This window comes from Homo sapiens, chromosome 8, assembly GCF_000001405.40.
Source record: "Homo sapiens chromosome 8, GRCh38.p14 Primary Assembly".
Classification (NCBI taxonomy): domain Eukaryota; kingdom Metazoa; phylum Chordata; class Mammalia; order Primates; family Hominidae; genus Homo; species Homo sapiens.
In genome coordinates this window covers 105,189,374-105,210,551 of record NC_000008.11, presented here as the reverse complement: position 1 = coordinate 105,210,551, position 21,178 = coordinate 105,189,374, and the positions used below count along the sequence as shown (strand labels likewise).

General features: G+C 35.5%; 1 pseudogene, besides 1 other annotated feature; it reads left to right on the top strand.

Moving 5' to 3' along the window:
* Positions 1,617-1,911: a silencer, noted in NCBI's record as "tiled region #5201; HepG2 Repressive non-DNase unmatched - State 24:Quies". NCBI's record gives its function as "represses a minimal TATA promoter and a strong SV40 promoter by Sharpr-MPRA in HepG2 cells {active_cell/tissue: HepG2}" and the evidence as "EXISTENCE:reporter gene assay evidence [ECO:0000049][PMID:27701403]".
* Positions 13,047-15,852, top strand: TMCC1P1 (transmembrane and coiled-coil domain family 1 pseudogene 1; annotated as a pseudogene).

Here is a 21,178-nt window from a genome sequence, read left to right as displayed (position 1 = left end):
TAGTTTGCTGAGGATAATGGCTTCCAATTCCATCCATGTCCCTGAAAAGAACATGATCTCATTCCTTTTTATAGCTGCATAGTGTTCCATAATGTAGATATACCACGTTTTCTTATCCATTCTATCACTGATGGGCATTTAGGTTGATTCCGTATCTTTGCTATTGTGGATACTACTGCAATGAATATATGCATGCATGTATCTTTATTATAAAATAATTTATATTTTGGGGGGTATACACTCAGCAATGGGATTGCTGCGTCAAATGGTATCTCTGCCTCTAGGTCTTTGAGGAATTACCACACTGTCTTTTACAATAGTTGAACTAATTTACACTCCCACCAACAGTTTAAAAACATTTCTTTTGCTCTACAAGTACTCCAGCATCTGTCATTTTTTAAGTTTTTAATAATAGCCATTCTGACTGGTGTGAGATGGTACCTCATTGTGGTTCTGATTTGCATTTCTCTAATGATCAGTGATGTTGAGGCTTTTTCCATATGTTTGTTAGCCACATTTGTGTCTTCTTTTGAGAGGTGTCTGTTCATGTCTTTCGCTTAGTTTTTAATGGGGTTGGTTTATTTTCTTGTAAATTTGCTTAAGTTCCTTGTAGATTCTGGATATTAGACCTTTGTCAGATAGATAGATTGTAAAAATTTTCTCCCATTCTGAAGGTTGTCTGCAAAACATACTCTCTAAATATAAATACAGACAGTTTGAAACATAACTGATGGAAAAGTTGTGCCATAAATACATTATTCAAAAGAAAGCTAGTGTGAATATATTATCAGTCAACATAGACTTTAAAGCAAAACATATTAAGAGAAATAAAGATATTTTATAATTATAAAATATTTTATAATTATAAAACATTTGAATCAATAGGAATATTTAACAATTTTAAATTTGCAGGCACTTGAAAACTGCTTTAAAATATGTAAACCAAAAGTTAAGATTTAAAATGATAGACAATCCAAAATCTTAGTTGAAGAATTTAACACACCTCTCTTAATAACTGATAGAATAGGCAAACAAAAAAAGAGCAATAAGGATGTCAAAGTTTTGAATAATACCATTAACCAACTTGATCTAATTGGCATATTCGAATATGCCAATTAATTACAGAATATACATGTTTTTCAAGTACATTTGAAACATTTATCAAAATGGATCATAGAGCACTTATGCAAGGCTTATACATTTCAAAGGCTTGATATAGTGCATTTTTTTTTTCTGCCACAGTGCAGATTAATTAGAACTTAAATTATAGGAAAAAACTTGGAAAATTCATATTATGGGACAGCAAATATTTCAAAAGCAAAATAGAGTTCAGGACAAATGGAACAACATCTTCACAGTGCTGCTAATGAAAAGCTGTCAAACTAGAATTCTGTAATTTATACTCATTCAAGAATGAATAAATAAAATAAAAACATTTTTGCCGAGAAAAATATCAGGATTTTCAAAGGACATATGTTAAGAGTTATAAAAATTCCCCTTGAAGGAAGAATTTTATGCCAAATTTAAAAAAAAATCATGAACATTCTTCTAGCCTTCCACATAGGAAAGGGGAAATACACAACTCCAGCCCACTCCAGCCATCCTGCTCCACCTAAGTGGCAAACAAAGCAGCAATAGAAAACAAAAAAACCTGAGAAATAACAGTGAAGTTTACAGACCAGGGGCACAGGCTCACCAAAAGATGGAGAATTAATCATAAGATAGACTGATAAGATTCATGCCAGAGTCAGATATGGCAGGAATGTTGGAATTATCAGGCCAGAAATTTTTTTTTACACTATGACTAATGTGCTAAGGGAGTTACTGGAAAAAGTAGATAGCCTATGCAACAACAGAATGAAAGCAGAAGATAGAAATTCTAAGAAAAAAAAAAAGAAGTGCTAGAGATTAAAAAAAATGTAATTGAACTGAAAAATGCTTTTGATGGGCTCATTAGTAGACTGGACACACCTGAGGAAAGAGTCTTTATGCTTGATGATATGATAACGGAAACTTCCAAAACTGAAAGGCAAAGAGAAAGAAGAATAGAAACAGAAGTACAGAATATCCAAGAACTATGGAACATGTACAAAAAGTGTAATGCATATTTAATGTTGATACCAAAAGAAGAAAGAGAAAAAGGAACAGAAGCAATATTTGAAACAATAATGACTGAGAATTTTCCCCAAATCAAGTGGATGATTGGATAAAGAAAATGTGATATATAAATGTGGTGTGTGTGTGTGTGTGTGTGTGTGTATATACACACACATACATATATGTTAAAAAATAACAGATGTTAACGAGGATGTTGAGAAAAGGGAATGCTTATACACTGTTTGTGGAAATGTCAATCAGTGCAACCTCTATAGAAAACAATTTGGAGATTTCTCAAAGAATTAAAAATAGAACTACCAATGGATCTGTAAGTTTCTTCATCCAATCATCCAATAATGGACACTTAGGTTGATTTCATGTCTTTGCTATTTTGAATAGTGCTGTGATAAACATATGAGCACAGGTATCTTTTTGATTTAATGATTTCTTTTCCTTTTGTTATATACCCAGTAGTGAGATTACTGGATCAAATGATAGTTCCATTTTTAGTTCTTTGAGAAGTCTCCATATTGTTTTCCACAGAGGTTGTACTAATTGACATTCCCACCAACAGCATATAAGCCTCCCCTTTTCTCCATATCCTTGCCAACATCTATTAATGTTGACTTTTTAGTAATAGGCATTCTGATTGTTATAAGATGCTATCTCATTGTGGTTTTAATTTGTACTTCTCTGATGATTAGCGATGTAAAGAATTTTTCATATGTTTATTAGCCATTTGTATGTCTTCTTTTGAAAAATGTCTACTTCTGTCCTTTGCTCACTTTTTAATGGAGGTATTTGAATCTCTTTTGTAAAGTTGCTTGAGTTTCTTTTAAATTCTGGATACTAGTCCCCTGTCAAATGCATAATTGGCAAATATTTTCTCTCAGTCTGCAGGTTGTCTGTTCATTCTATTTTTGCTGTGCAGAAACTTTTTAGTTTAAGTCAGTCTCATTTGTCTGTGTTTTGTTGTTGTTGCATTTGATTTTGAAGTCTTAATTATGAATTCTTTGTCTAGACCAATGTCCAAAAAAGTTTCCCCTAGGTTTTCTTCTAGTATTTTTATAGTTTCATGTCTTATATTTAAGTCTTTGATCTATATTGAATTGATTTTTGCATATGGTGAGAGATAGGAGTTCAGTTTCATTCTTCTCCACATGGCAATCCAATTTTCCCAGCACTATTTATTGAAAAGGGTGTCCTTCCTCATTACATATTTCTATTTACTTTTTCAAAGATGAGTTGGCTGTGGATATGTGGCCTTAGGAAAAAATCATGAAATTCATATGGAACAAAAAAAGGAGCCTGAATAGCCAATATACTATGCAAAAACAACAAAGCTAGAGGTATCACATTACTTAGTTTCAAATTATACTGCAAGCCTATAGTAACCAAAACAGCATGGTATTGATATAAAAATAGACTGATATAAAAATATTCTGTTCCACATCAATGGAACAGAATAGAGAAGGCAGAGGTTAAAAAATAAAAGAAAACAACCTTAGCTGCAGATAGGCAAAGATAAAAATTACATCTTACTTCTTAGAAATTATGAAAGCAAGAAAAGAGTGGAGTGAAATATTTGGCATTAACAGAGAAAAACCACCAACCTAGAATTCTGTACACTGCAAAATTATCCATCAGAAGTGAAAGAGAAATGCTTTCTTAGATAAACAAAAATTGATAGAACTATTGCCAGTAGACCTGCCTTGTGAGAAATGTTAAAAAGAAGTTCTACAGAAATAACCAAAGTAATATAGATCAGAACTTCAGGCCCACATAAAGAAAAGAAAAACATTGGAGAATGAATAAGTGAAGGTAAATAAAAACTTTTACTTTATTTGTCTTATTATTGGTTGATATAACAGATAACAATTTTTGCAAAAAATAGCAACAATATGTACAATTATGTACGCTTATGTACATGTATACAGGCATACGTCTTTTTATTGCTTCCCTTTATTGTGCTTTAAAGATATTGTGCTTTTTACAAACTGAATGTTTGTGGCAACTATGTATTGACAAAGTCTATTGGCACCATTTTTCCAAGAGTATATACTTATTTTGTGTCTCTGTGTCACATTTTGGCAATTCTTGCAATGTTTCAAACTTTTTCATTATTATTTTATCTGTTCTTGTGATCTGTGATCGGTGAACATTTATGTTACCATTGTAATTGTTTTGGGGTGCCACAAACTGCACCATATAAGAGAGTGAAATTTATTGATAAATGTTGTGTGTGCTCTAATTGTTCCACCAACTGATCGTTCCCTTGTCTTGTCTCTCTCCCTTTTCTTCAGCCTCTCTATTCTCTGAGACACAATATTGAAATTAGGCAAATTGTTACCTTACATGACCTCTAAGTATTCAAGTGAAAGGAGGCATTTCACATCTCCCACTTTAAGTCAAAACTTAGAAATGATTAAGCTTAGGAAGGAAGGCATGTCAGAAGCAAAGACAGGCTGAAAGCTAGGCCTCTTGCACCAGCTAGTCAAGTAGTGAACACAAAGGAAAAGTTTTTGAAGAAAATTAAAAGCACTACTCCAGTGATCCCAGGAATAATAAGAAAGCAAAACAGCCTAATTGCTGATATGAAGAATGTTTGAGTGATCTGGATTGAAGGTCAAATCAGCATCAACATTCCCTTACATGAAAGCCTAGTCCACACCAATGCCCCAACTCTCTTCAATTATATAAAGACTGAAAGAGGAGAGGAAGTTACAGCAGGAAAGTTGGAAGCTATTATTGATCGATTCATGAGGTTTAAGGAAAGAAGCCATCTCCGTAACAAGAAAGAGCAAACTGAAAAAATGATAAAGTATAAGAGGCAAGTTATCCAGAAGATCTAAACAAAATCATTGGTGAAAATCTAAACAATAGATTTTCAATGCAGACAAAACAGTCTTCTACTGGAAAAAGATGCCATCTAGGACTTTCATAGCTAAAGAGAAATCAATCTGGCTTCAATGCTTCAAAGGACAGGATGACTCTCTCATTAGGGGTTAATGCAGATGGTGACTTTAAGTTGAAGCCAATGTCCATTTACTGTTCCAAAATTCTTAAGGGTCTTAAGAATTGTGTGAAATATACTCTGTTTGTGTAACATAAATGGAATGACAAAGACTATATGAGAGAACATTTATTTGGAGCATGGCTTATCCAATATTTTAAGCCCACTGTTGAGACCTACCGCTCAGAAAAAAAGATTCTTTTCAAAATATTATTGCTCATTGACAATTCAGCTGGTCATCTAAAAGCTTGGATGTAGATGTGCAAAAAGATTAATGTTTTCATGCCTCCGTAAGAGTGTTTTCATGCCTGCTAACATAACATCCATTCAGTAGCCCAGGGATCAAGTAGCTTTCAAGTCTTATCATTTAAGAAACACATTTTGTAAGATTATAGTTGCCATAGACAGTTATTCCTCTGATGGATCTGGACAAGGTAAATTAAAAAATTTCTGGAGTTTACCATTCTAGATGCTACTAGGAACATGATTCATATAAGGAGGTCAAAATGTCAACATTAACAGGAGCTTGGACTAAGCTGATTCCAATCCTCATGGATGACTTTGAGGGGTTCAAGATTTTAGTGGAGGAAGTAATTGCAGATGTGGTGGAAACAGCAACAGAACTAGAATTAGAAGTGGAGCCTAAAGATGTGACTGAATTGCTGCACTCTTATGACCAAACTTGAATGGATGAGGAGTTGCTTCTTAAGGATGAGCAAAGAAAGTGGTTTCTTAAGATTGAATCAACTGCTGGTGAAGATGCTGTAAACATTACTGAAATGACAACAGAGGACTTAGAATATTACATCACATATTTGATAAAGTAGCAGCAGGGTTTGAGAGGATTGATTTCAATTTTGAAAGAGGTTCTACTATGGGTAAAATGCTTTCAAATGGCATTGCATGCTACAGAGAAATCTTTCATGAAGGAAAAATTAATTAATGTAGCAATTTTCATTATCACCTTATTTTTAAAAATTGCCACAGCCCACCCCAACCTACAACAACCATTACCCTGATCAGTCAGCAGCCATCAACACTGAGACAGGAACTTCCACTAGCAAAATTATTATGACTCACTGAAGGCTCAGATAATTACAAGCATTTTTAAGCAATAAACTTTTTTTTTTTTTTTTTTTTTTTAGACAGAGTCTTGCTCTGTCGCCCAGGCTGGAGGGCAGTGGCGTGATCTCAGCTCACTGCAAGCTCCACCTCCCAGGTTCACGCTGTTCTTCTGCCTCAGCGTCCTGAGTAGCTGGGACTACAGGCACCCGCCACCATGCCCGGCTAATTTTTTTTTTTTTGTATTTTTTAGTAGAGATGGGGTTTCACCGTGTTAGCCAGAATGGTCTCGATCTCCTGACCTCGTGATCCGCTCGCCTTGGCCTCCCAAAGTGCTGGGATTACAGGCGTGAGCCACCGCACCTGGCCTCAATAAACTATTTTAATTAAGATTTGTACATCATTTTAGATATAATGCTATTGCATACTTAATATACTACAGTATAGTGTAGACATGACTTTTAAATGCGCTCAGAAACCAAAAAATTCACGACTTGCTTTATGTGACATTTACGTTGTTGCAGTGGCATGGAACTGAACCTACAATATCACCAAGGTATGCCTGTATATATGCTTTTGTATGTTCATGTATAAGTAAAATAAATTACAGCAATGATACAAGGGACAGAAGGGAGAAATTTGAGATTTTTTTTAAATTACAAGGCACTTGCATAACCCATGAAGTGGTATAATGTTATTCAAAAGTGGACCCGGCCAGGCACGGTGGCTCACGCCTGTAATCCCAGCACTTTGGGAGGCCTAGGTGGGCAGATCACGAGGTCAAGAGATTGAGATCATCCGGGCCAACATGGTGAAACCCCATCTCTACTAAAAATACAAAAAATTAGCTGGGCATGGTGGCACGCTCCTGTAGTCCCAGCTACTTGGGAGGCTGAGGCAGAATTGCTTGAACCTGGAAGGCAGAGGTTGCAGTGAGCCGAGATCATGCCACTGCACTCCAGCCTGGGGACAGAGTGGGACTCCATCTCAAAAAAAACAAACAAACAACAAAAAAGTGGACCTGTATTAGTTGTTGCAAAAGTATATTGCAAACTCTAGTGCAATGACTAAAAAAATATAAAAAAGTATAATGAATATTTCAAGAAAGGGGAGAAAAGGGAATAATTTAAAATGCACTTAAAACCACAAAAAGAAAAAAAATGTGGAAGACAAAAATAAGAACCAAGAACAAGTACAACAAATATTAAAGTGCAAAAAGTACAATAGATATTAATACAAATATATCAATAATTATCTTAAGTATCAGTGGCCTAAATACATCAAAGAAAACACAGAGATTGCCAAATTGGATCAAAAACAAGACTCAACTATATGTTGTCTGTAGGAAACCCACTTTAATTATAAAGACACATATAGATAAAAAGTAAACAAAGATATGCCATGCTAACAGTGACCAAAAGAAAGAGTAGTTTCAGACAGAGCTGACTTCACTGCAAGGAAAGTTGTCAGGGACAGTGGAGCATTACCTAATGATAGTTGGGCAAATACTTAAAAAAGACATAATGATCCTTAATGTGTATATGTATGCACTTAACAATAGAACATCAAAATACATGAGGCAAAATCTGATATAACTGTGTAGAGAAATAGATGAATTCACTATTATAGTTGGTGACTTTCACACCCCTTTGTCAGAAATGGACAGATCCAGCAGGCAGAAAATAAGGATGGTCTAACTGAACATCATTGTTAATAAACTGTATTTAACTGAGGTCTATAGGCCACTTTATCACAAACAGGAGATTATCTTCTTCTCAAGTTTACGCAGAACATTCACCAAGACAGACCACATGCTGGATAAGAAAATAACACCTTAACAAGTTTAAATGAATATAAATCATACAATATTCTGTTCTACCACAGTAGAATTAAACTATAATTAATAACAGAGTAGCATGGAATCTATGAATTGCTTTTGGCAGTATGGCCATTTTCACAAATTGACTCTTCTTATCCATGAGCATGGAATGTTTTTCCATCTGCTTGTATCCTCTCTGATTTCCTTAAGCAGTGGTTTATAGTTTTCCTTGAAGAGGCTCTTCACTTCCTTTGTTAGCTGTATTCCTAGGTATTTTATTCTCTTTGTGGCAATTATGCATGGGAGTTCATTTATGATTTGGTTTGTCTGTTGTTGATGTATAGGAATGCTTCTGATTTCTGCACAATGATTTTGTATCCTGAGACTTTGCTGAAGTTTCTTATCAGCTTAAGAAACTTTTGGGCTGAGTCGATGGGGTTTTCTAGATATAGGATTATGTCATCTGCAAAGAAAGATAATTCAACTTCCTCTCTTCCTATTTGACTACGCTTTATTTCTTTCTCTTGCCTGATTGCCCTGGCCAGAACTTCCAACATTATGTTGAATAAGAGTGGTGAGAGAGGGCATCCTTGTCTTGTGCCAGTTTTCAAGGGGAAAGCTTCCAGCTTTTGCCCATTCAATATAATATTGGCTGTGGGTTTATCATAAATGGCCATTATTTTGAGGTATGTTCCTTCAATATATAGTTTATTGAGAGTTTTTAACATGAAGGGATGTTGAATTTTATTGAAGGTCTTTTCTGCATCTTTTGAGATAATTATGTGGTTTTTGTCTTTAGTTCTGTTTATGTGATGAATTACATTTACTGATTTGCATATGTTGAAACAGCCTTGCATCCCAGGGATGAAGCTGACTTGATGGTAGCGTATAAGCTTTTTGATGTACAGCTGGAATCAGTTTGCAAGTATTTTATTGAGGATTTTTCCATCAACGTTCATCAGAAATATTGGCCTGAAGTTTTATTTTTGTTGTTTTTGTTGTAGTATATCTGCCAGGTTCTGTTATCAGGGTGATGCTGGCCTCATAAAATGAGTTAGGGAGGAGTCCCTCCTTTTCATTTCAGAAGAAACAGTACCAGCTCCTCTTTGTACCTCTGGTAGAATTCAGGTGTAAATGCATCTGAACCTGGGCTTTTTTTTGGGGGGTTGGTAGGCTATTTATTACTGCCTCAATTTCAGAACTTGGTTTTGGTCTATTCAGGGATTCAACTTCTTCCTGGTTCAGTCTTGGGAGAGTCTATGTGTCCAGGAATTTATCCATTTCTTCTCGATTTTCCAGTTTACTTGCAAAGAGGTATTTCTGCAATCTATCCATCTGACAAAGGCCTAATATCCAGAATCTACAAGGAACTTAAGCAAATTTACAATTTTCTTGTAAATTTTATTGAGGATTCAATAAACAACTCCATTAAAAAGTAGGCAAAGGACATGAACAGACATTTCTCAAAAAAAGACATATATGCAGCCAACAAACATGAAAAAAAGCTCAGCATCACTGTTCATTAGATAAATGCAAATCAAAACCACAATGAGATACCCTCTCACGCAAGTCAGAATGGGGATTAAAAAGTCAAGACACAGCAGATGCTGGCAAGATTGCAAAGAAATAGGAATGCTTTTACACTGTTGGTGGGAATGTAAATTAGCTTAACCATTGCTGAAGACAGTGTGGTGACTCCTTAAAGATTTAGAACCAGAAATACCATTTGACCCAGCAATCCCATTATTGGGTATATACCCAAAGGAATATAAATCAGCCTATTATGAGATACATGCACGCATATGTTCAGCGCAGCACTATTCACAATAGCAAAGACATGGAATCAACCCAAATGCCCATCAATTATAGATTGGATACATGTGGTACATATCCACCATGGAATACTATGCAGCTATAAAAAGAAATGAGATCATTTCCTTTGCAGGCACATGGATGGAGTTGGAAGCCATTATCCTCAGCAAACTAACACAGGCACAGAAAAACAAACACCACATGTTCTCATTTATAAGTAGGAGCTGAACAATGACAACATATGAACATAGGGAGAGAAACAACACTCACTGGGCCTGTCAGGAGAGGGTGGGTGGCAGGGAGAGCATTAGGGCAGAGAGTTAACGCATGCTAGGCTTAATACCTAGGTGACGGGTTGATAGGTGCAGCAAACTTCCATGGCACACGTTTGCCTATGCAACAAACCTGCACATCTTGCACATGTATCCCAGAACTTAAAAATAATAATAATATCGAAAAAAACAGAAAGTTATCTGAAAAATCTCCAAATATTTGGAGATTAAACAACACACCTCTATGTAACCCATGGATCAAAGAAGAAATCTTAAGAGAAATTTTAAGATATGTTGAACTAAATGAGAATGAAAATACAATTTATCAAAATGTGTGGAATACAATGAAATGAATGTTCAGAGGAATATTTATAGTATTGAATACATGTTTACAGAAAAAGAAAAATGTAAGATTAATCACTTAAGCCTCCACCTTAAGAAACTAGGGGAAAAGGTTTAAATTAAATCCAAAGTAAGGAGAAGAAGATAAATAATAAAAATTAGAGCAGAAATCAACGAAATTGAAAAAATAAAACCAATAGAAAAAAATCAACAAAACTGAAAGCTGGTTCTTTGGAAGCATCATTAAAATTGATAAGTCTTGGGTGGGCATGGTGGCTCACACCTGTAATTCCAGCACTTTGGGAGGCCGAGGTGGGCAGATCACAAGGTCAAGAGTTTGAGACCAGTCTGGCCAAGGAGTTCGAGACCAGTCTGGCCAACATGGTGAAATCCAGTCTCTACTAAAAATACAAAAATTATCCGGGCACGGTGGCACATGCCTGTAGTCCTAGCTACTCAGGAGGTTGAGGCAGGAAAATTGCTCAAACCCGGGAGGCAGAGGTTGCAGTGAGCTGGGATTGTGCCACTGTACTGCAGCCTGGGCAACAGAGAAAGACTCTGCCTCAAAACAAAAGAAAAAATAAAAAAAATCGATAAGTCTCTAGCCAGGCTAACAGAGAGAAGGGAAGAGGGAGTGGGAGAAGAGGGAGGCAGAGGGAGAAAGTAAGAGAGAGAGAGAGAGAGAGAGAGAGAGAGAGAAGACACAAATTACTAGTATTGTAAGATCACCACAGATCCTATTGAAACTTAAAGGATAATAAAGAATTATGAACAACTCTATACCCACAGATTTTATAACCTAGATGAAATGAGCCAATTGCTGAAACATATAATATTACAAAATTTAATCAAGAAAAAGTTGACAATATGAGCATGGCTAATCTAGTAAATAATTTGAATCAATAATTTATTGCCTCCCAAAATAGAAATCACCAGGTCCAAACTGTTTTATTCATGAAGTCTACCCAACATGTAAGGAAGAATTATGCCAATTTTCTATAATCTATTCCAGAAGATGATGCAGAAAAAGTATTTTTGAACACATCCTGTGACACCAGCATTACTCAAACACCAAAACAAGACAAAAGGCATCACGAGGAAAAAACAAACACACAACCAAGCTAAAGACCAATATTGCTCATGAACATATATGCAAAAATTCTCAACAAAATATTAACAAATCATATCCAGCAATGTCTAAAAAAATTGTACACCATGACCAAGTGGGTTTTATACCAGGTATGCAAAGCTGATTTAACATTTAAAATAAAATAATGCAATGTATCATATCAACGAACTAAAGAAGAAAAGCCACATGATTATATCAACAAATGCAGAAAATGTATTTGACAAAATCCAACACCTATGCGTGGTAAAAACTCACAGCAAACTAAGAAAAGAATATTTACAAAAAATCTACAGCTAACATCATATTTATTGGTAAGAAACTTGCAGATTTTCCACTAAGATCAGGGAGAAAGCAAGGATGTCTCCTCTCAGCACTGCTTTCTACTATCATACTGGATATCTGGCTAATGCAATAAGACAAGAAAAGGAAATAAAATTGGAAGGAAGAAATAAAACTATGGTCACAGATGAATTGATCATCTATGTAGAAAATCCAAATAATCAACAAAACTCCTGAAACTAATAAATAACTAAAGTAAGATTGCAGGATACTAGGTTAACATACAAAAGTTAATCACTTTTCTACATATAAACACAGATGCAAAAATGTACAAGTGAAACTTGAAATTAAAGACACTTTACCATTTACATTAACACCTCCCAAAGTGAAATACTTAGGTATAAATCTAACAAAATATGTATAAGATCTATGTGAGAAACACTGTGAAATTCTGATAACACATATAAAGAATAACTAAATAAATAAAAAGATATACCATGCTCATGCATAGGAAGGCTTAATATTGTCAGTTCTTTTCAAGTTGATCTATAGATTTGATGCAATCTCAATTTTAAAACTCAGCAAGTTATTGTGTAGATAACAAACTGATTGTAAGGTTCATATGGAGAGGCAGAACACCCAGAATAGCCAACACAATGTTAAAGCAGAAGAACAAAATCAGATGGCTGACACTACATAACTTCAAGATTTACTATAAAGCTACAGTAGTCAAGACAATGTGTTGTTGGCAAAAGAATGAACAAGTAGATCAATGGAACAGAATACAGGGCCAAGAAATAGGCCCACATAAATATGGTCAACTGATCTTTTGCAAAAGAGTGAAGGCAATACAATAGAACAAGGATGGTCTCTTCAACAAATGATGCTGGAACAACTGAACATCTACATGCAAAATATAAATCTTAGATACACACTTAACATCTTTCACAGAAATTAACTCAAAATGGATGATCAACATAAATTTAAAATACAAACTATAAAACTGTAGAAGATAAGCTAAAATAAAATTTAAATGATCCCGGAAATAGTAATGACTTTTTAGATAAAACACCAAAGGCATGATCCATACGAGAAATAATTGATAAGTTGGACTTCATTAAAATTAAAAACTCCTGCCTTATGAAAGACAATGGCAAAAGAATTAGGATAAGTCACAAGCAGTGGTGACTGAGGTGGTTGGGGCAAGATGCATGAGGAGGTTGCTTGGAAGGGATCAACCAGGGGACATGGCATCAGTGGCTGGAGGCAGCACTTGAGCTTGAAAGATGGTGCTTGTGAAGACTCTGGCTGCTTCTCCCCTCCCCACCAGTAGTAATTTCTGGAGAAAACACATTCACAGTTAGTACTTTCTACAGATGCTAACATTTGGTGAACAGTTGCTCTTGGTCACAAGATTTAGAAGACACAATATCCATCCTCCTAGATTGGTTCTCTTTTCATATGGATCTTCTGTTTCTATGATTTTTTAAGAGAACTTTTTGGGAAACATTTTGGATTACAATTGTTCATCCTTATCTATGCAAAGAAAGTAAAGCTATTGTTGGGATTTTTAGGAGCTTTTCCTAAAATGATTCTCATATACCTTAGAAGTGCTTGAGGAAGAGTAATGAAGGCGGCATGAACCCTTAATCTCATGGCTGCATGCACAGTCATTGTTGAAGCAAATGCCTACATAATTTAACACTCTTGGTGTGTTAAAGAAAATAAGTTTGCAAATAAGCATATTAAGTCTACTGATGGAGCCTGTGGGCAGTGAATACATGAGGACTCTGATCCTAGAGGCAAACAACAAGATGCAGAGGCTGGAAAGCATATAGAATCAGGAAAAAAGTTGTCTAAAATGACCCACAATGTTATGAAAAACGTTAATGTGATTGGCTAAGGCCTGAAGGATCTCTTCCAGCACCAGCACAGGAGGACATCAGTGTCTCCATACCATGTGCAGCAAATTCAGGCCAATCCAGAACCTGAAATGGATCTGGAAAGCCAGAATGCATGTGCTGAGACTGATGGTGTCTCCACCCACTCCACAGCTCTGAATCATGTCCTACAGAAGATTAAAATGCCACCTTAGATGAAGAGAGGAACAAGCCTGCGTAGTAGGTAGGACAAGCCAGAAGCCCCAAGGGAAGTTCCCAAATCAGGAAATATGGCTAGGAGATGACAGCTGTTATGCAGTCAGGTCAACCCAGGTCTTCATCCACAGCTGATGCCCCTATCAGCTTCACTATAATGGAAATAACATGTGCTGCTGCTGCTGCATGTCTGCCAAGAGAGGAGGGAACTGCAGAGTGGATTAAGTGGTTGGAAGTAAGCAGCCTCACTCAGACATCCAGTGCAGTGGTCTCCAGTACTAATGACAGCATTCACACAGACTCCATGGATGGAACAGCAGACCCTCAGTGAAAAAAAAAATCCTGCTATTTTTCACCTGCAGCAGAAGATCCTGATGCTCACATAACAGATCAAGATTGCACAGCCTGGGATGACAGCATTGCTGAGTACTTGAAGCTTGCCAACAGCTCGGACAAGTAGTAGGCTGGCTGAATCAAGCAGGACTTCGAGAAGAAGAACCAGAAATCTGCCCAAATCATCCTCCAGGTACAAAAGAAGCTTGAGCACTACCACAGGATGCTGTAAGAGGTGGAGTAGAATGGGATCCCCCAGCAACCAAAGGATGTCTTTAGGAACATGCAGCAGGGTCTGAAGGATGTGGGAGTGAAGGTGACTGGCTTCAGTGAAGGTGTGGCAGGTGGTGTCAAAGGTAGATTTTCCAGTTTCTCTCAGGCCAGCTATTCAGCAATAGGGACCATGGTCTCAAAACCCAGAGATTTTGCCTCAATGATTTGGAACAGATTTGGCAGTACAGACGACATCTGTAACCTAAAGTACTGTTTAGAGGTAGGGCAAGTGGATGATGAGGGGAAGGCTTTGGGAGTGATTTTGAACTTTCAGTGATGCCCACAATATGGCAGTCAGGAAGATTGTCCTAGGACTATTTTAGGCTCAGTGGGAGTCAACAGCACCACTGGTGGCATAACTGTAGGAACATCCAGCTCCAAAAAGAATACCCTGCACATACAAAGCCTGGGGTTTGATGCACTATTACATGAGATCCAGGAGATCTGGGAAACCCAGGCCAGGCTAGAGAAATCCTTTGACACTCTCAAGGAACATTACCAGAGGGACAATTTGTTAATAATGAAGACCTTATGGGAGGAGTGAAATAGATGTGAATGATTAGAAGAAGAACGAAATGACCTAAAGGAGCTTCGCCAGAATGAAATCTTGAACTTGAAGAAGGAATGACCTAAAGGAGCTTCACCAGAATGAAATCTTGAACTTGAAGCAGGAACTGGTCAGCAGGGAAAAAATTTGCATATCAGGATGGGCCTGGGAAATCCAGGAGGCATGCCAGACCTGCGTTTCTAAGATGGAGCTGGATATTCATGATGCAGCACTAGCAGGTGGTGGAGCTAGAAGGGCTGGAGAATGCCACTGCCTGGAATCTTCTGGACAAAGTCATCGACATCCTCCTTGCTGTCATGGCAGTCCTTTTGGTCTTTTTCTCCATGGTAGCCAACAGTGTGGCCCCCCTCATGCAAACTTGCAATGCGGTGTTCAGTACTTTATTCCCTGTGGTTTTCATTGCCTTTCTCTGGAAGCACCAGGCTGCCCCCTTCAGCTATGTGAAATGATTCTTTTCATCCCCAAATGATGCTGGCACAGAAGGCATTGTTCACTTTTCTCTGGCAAGTGCATGCAACAGGAAGTTAGACAGCAACTTACCGACTCTGAAGTTTTCTACAACCAAAGGGTTGAGTGAATCTGTTTACATATAGAATGATGTTTTATTCACAAGAGACACAATTACAATAGTACTTTTTATATTTTATCCAATAATTTTTTAGGGCGAAAATCTTGGATAATTTTTGTGTAGCATGATTTTCTTTGGAATGTGAATCTTAAACAGTTACTTAACATGAACCAAAAATCTGAAGTATACAGCTGTGTCTACGTCCATACCACCCTGAACACACCAATCTCATCTGAAGTATACTGCTGAAAGAAAAGAATGTTAATGAGCAATAAGTAATTATCTGAAGTTTCAGAGTTCACTGGTAATAGTAAATACACAGAAAAACAGAATATTATAACATCATAAACTAGTCATATCTTGACTAGAAAGATAAAAGGGGAACCAATCAAAAATAATAACTACAACAACTTTTTAAGACATAGACAGTACAATAAGATATAAATAGAAACAACAGAAAGTTTAAAAGTGGGAAGATAAAGTGTGAAGTTTTTATTAGTTTTTCTTTTGCTTCTTTGTTGGTTTCTTTGTTTATACAATTAAAGTTCAGTTGTTATTAGTTTAAAATAACGGGTTATAAGGTATTATTTGCAAACCTCATGGTAACCTCAAACCAAAAAACATACAACGTATACACAAAAAATAAAACAAGCAATTAAAACATACTATCTGACAAACTCACCTTCACCAAAAATAAGACAGGAAGGAAGGAATGAAGGAAGATAAAACTACAAAAGAAAACCCAGAAAACAAATAAAATGCAGAAGTTAGTCATTACTTATCAATAATAACATTGAACACAAATAGATTAAACTCTCCAATCAGAAGACATAGACTGGCTGAATGGATTAAATAAAAATGATAAGACTCAACGGTTTGTTGCCTACCAGAAACACACTTCACTTACAAAGACACACATAGACTGAAAATAAAGGGATAGAAAAATATATTCCATGACAATGGAAAACAGAAAAGAGCAGGAGTAGCTATATTTAGACAAAATAGATTTCAAGACAAAGACAATAAGAGAAGACAAAGAAGGTCATTATGTAATGATAAAGAGGTAAATTCAGCAAGACGATACAATGGTTATAAATATATATGCTCCCAACACTACAGCATCCCAACATGTAGAGCAAATATTATTAGAGACACACAGAGAGATAGACCCCAATATAATAAGAGCTGGAGACTTTAACAACCCACTTTCATCTTTGGAGAGATCTTCCGGACAGAAAATCAATAAGGAAATATTGGGCTTACTCTGCACTGTAGGATAAATGAACCTAATACCAATTTACAGAACATTTCATCCAGTGGCTATGGAATACATATTCTTCTCCTCAGCATAAGGGTCAGTCTCAAGGATAGACCATATATCAGGTGACAAAACAAGACTTAAAACATTCAAAATTTTGAAATAATATCAAACATCTTCTCTGACCATAATGGAATAAAACTAGAAATCAATATCAAGAGGAATTTTTGAAACTATACAAGCACATGCAGATTAAACAATATGCTTCTTAATGACCAGTGGTCAATGAAGAAATTAAGAAGGAAAGTGAAAAAATTTTTGAAACAAATTTTAGTGGAAACAGAACTACTGAAATCTATGAGATATAGCAAAAGCAGCACTCGGAGGAAAATTTATAGCTATAAGTGCCTACATCAAAAAAGAAGAAAAACTTCAAATAAACAACCTAACAATGCATCTTAAGGAACAAGAAAAGCAAGAACAAACCAAATCCCAAATTAGGAGAAGAGAAGAAATAAGAATCAGAGCAGAAATAAGTGAATTTGAAATGCAAACAATATAAAAGATCAATAAAACAAAAAGTTGGTTTTTTGAAAATATAAACTTGACAAACATTAGACAGAATAAGAAAAAAGAAAGCACCTAAGTAAATAAAATCTGAGATGAAAAAGGAGATATTACAATTGATACTGTAGAAATTCAAAGGGTCATTAGTGGCTACTATGAAAAACTATATGCCAACAAATTAAGAAATCTAGAAGAAATGGACAAATTCCTAGACACATAAAATCTAGCAAGGTTGAACCATGAGGAAATCCAAAATTTGAACAGATGAATGACAAGCAATGAGATTGAAGCTGCAATAAAAAGTCTCTCAGTAAATAAGATCCCAGAACCCAATGGACTGCTTAATTCTGCCACACTTTTACAGAGGAACGAATACCAATTCTACTCAAATTGTTCCAAAAAATAGAGGAGGACAGAATATCTCCAAACTCATTCTATAAGGCTTGTATTACCCTGATACCAAAACCAATGACACATAAAAAAATGACAGGCCAATATCTCTGATAAATATTGATGCAAAAATACTCAAAAAATTACTAGCAAACTGAATTCCACAATACATTAAAAAGGTCATTCATCATGATCAAGCAGAATTTATCCCAGGGATGCAAAGATGGCTCATCATATGCAAATCAATGTGATAGATCATATCAACAGAATGAAGGATAAAAACCATATGATCATTTCAATTGATGTCGAAAAAGCATTTGATAAAGTTCAACATCACTTATTGAAAAAAACCATCAAAAACCTGGGTATGGAAGGAACATAACATGATAAATGCCATATGTGACATACCCACAGTTAGTATCATACTGAATAGAGAAACTGAAAGCCTTTTCTCTAAAATCTGGAAAATGACACAGATGCTCACGTTCAACAGCATTCCACATAGCACTGGAAGTCCTAGCTAGAGCAATCAGACAAGACAAAGAAAGAAAGAGCATATAAGTTAGAAAGGAAGAAGTCAAATTATCCCTCTTTGCAGATATGATCTTGTATTTGGAAAATCCAAAAGGCTCCACCAAAAAACTATTAGAACTGATACATTCAGTAAAGTTGCAGGATACAGTATCAATATACAAAAATCAGTAGTATTTCTATATGTCAAGAGTATAGAATATGTAAAAGAGATCAAGAAAGTAACTCCATTTGCAGTAGCCACAAATACAATTAAATTTCTAGGAATTAACCAAAGAAGTGAAAGTTCTCTACAATGAAAACTATAAACACTGACAAAAGAAATTAAAGAGGACAAAAACATTGAAAGATATTCCATGTTCATGGAATGGAAGAATAAATATTGTTAAAATCCCCATACCACCCAAAGCAATCTATAGATTGAATGCAATCCCTGTCAAAATGCCAATGATATTTTTCACAGATATAGAAAAAACAACCTTAAAATTTATATGGAATCACAAAGGATCTAGCATAGCCAAAGCTATCCTGAGCAAAAATAACAAAACTGGAGGAATCACATTACCTTACTTTAAATTACACTACAGAGCTATAGTAACCAAAACAGCATGACACTGGCATGAAAACAGACACATAGACCAATGGAACAGAATACAGAACCCAGAAATAAAACCACACACCTACAGTGAGCTCATTTTTAACAAGGTGCCAAGACATACATTGGGGAAAAGACAGTCTCTTCAATAAATGGTGCTGGGAAAACAAAATACCTATATGCACAAGAATGAAACTACACCTCTATCTCTCACTGTATACAAAAATTAAATCAAAATGACTTAAAGACTTAAATATAAAATCTCAAACTATGTAACTACTAAAAAAAAAAAACCTTGGGGAAACTCTTCAGGACATTGTACTGGGCAAAGATTCCTTGAGTAATACTCCACAAGCACAGGCAACCAAAGCAAATGCGGACAAATGGGATCACATCAAGTTAAAAAGCTTCTGCACAGCAAAGGAAACCATCAACAAAGTGAAGAGACAATTTTCAGAATGGGAGAAAATATTTGCAACTATTGATAAGACAATGGATTAATAACCAGAATATATAAGGAACTGAAATAACTCTAAGAAAATATCTAATAATACAATTAAACAATGGTCAAAATATCTGAAAAGACATTTCTCAAATAAAGACATATAAATGGCAAATAGATGTATGAAGAGGTGCTCCGCATCAATGATCATCAGAGAAATGCAAATAAAAACTACAGTGAGATATTGCCTCACCCCAATTAAAATAGCTTGTATCCAAAATATAGTCAATAACAAATGCTGGCAAGGATATGGAGAAAAAGGAACCTTTGTACACTGTTGGTGGAAATGTATATTAGTATGACTACTATGGAGTACAGTTTGGAGGTTTCTCAAAAAACTAAAAATAGAACTACCATAGAATCCAGCAGTCCCACTACTAGGTATATACTCAAAAGAAAGGAAATTAGTATATCAAAGATATAAGATGTATCTGCACTCCCATTTATTGCAGCAGTATTCCAATACCCAAGATTTGGAAGCAATGTAACTGTCTATCAACAGATAAGTGGATAAAGAAAATGTGGTACATATACACAATGAAGTACTATTCAGACGCAAAAAAAAAAAAGACTGTTATTTCTGTCATTTTTAACAACATGGATGGAACTGGATGTCATTATGTTAAGTGAAATAAGCCAGACACAGAAAGACAAACTTTGCCTGTTCTCACTTATTTGTGGAGGCTAAAAATGAAAACAATTGAATTTATGTAGATAGAAAGTAGAAGGATGATTATGAGAGGCTGGGAAGGGTTTTGGGTAGGGGTGAAGCATAAAGGATGATTAACGTGTACAAAAAATAGAATAAATATGATCTAGTATTTGATAAAACAACAGGATGACTACAGTTAGCAATAATCTATTGTACATTTAAAAATAACTAAAAGAGCATAATTGGGTTGTTTGTAACACGAATAAAGTATAAATATTTGAGGTAATGAATATGCCACTTATTCTGATGTGATTACTATGCATTGTATGCCTGTATCAAAATATCTCATGTGCCCCATAAATATATACACATGCTACGTACCCACAAAAATTTAAAAGGAAACAAAACAGAAAAAGACAAATCACAGACTATTTTGAATTGATTTCTGTGTTTGGTGTGAGATAAAGGTCCAATTTCTATCTTTTGCATGTGAATGGCCACCTTTCCCAACACCATTTGCTGAAGGGACTATCCTTTTCCCATAGTGCCATCTTGACATCCTTGTTGAAGGATGTCAACAATGATGACATCTTGACATCCTTGTTGAAGGATGTCATGCTTGTTAATCATATATATGTAGATTTATTTGTGGCCATTCTAATCTGTTACACTGGTCTATATGTCTGTAATGCCAGTCCCATATACAAATTTTTAATCACTATAACTTCGTAATACGTTTTGAAGTCACAAAGTGTGAGGCTTTTTTTTTTTGTTATTTTTTCTCAATTTTACTTTGGTTAGTTCGGCTCTCTTATGGTTCCATATGAGGTTAAGGATGCTTTTTTATTTGTGCAACAAATGCCACTGAGATTTTGATAGGGATTCCATTGAACCTATAGATCTCTTTGGGCAATATGGGCATTTTTACAATCTTGTCTTTTAATCTATGAACATGGGATGTCTTTCCATTTATTTGTGTCTTCTTTAATTTCTTTCAGTAATGTTTTATAGTTTTTCAGT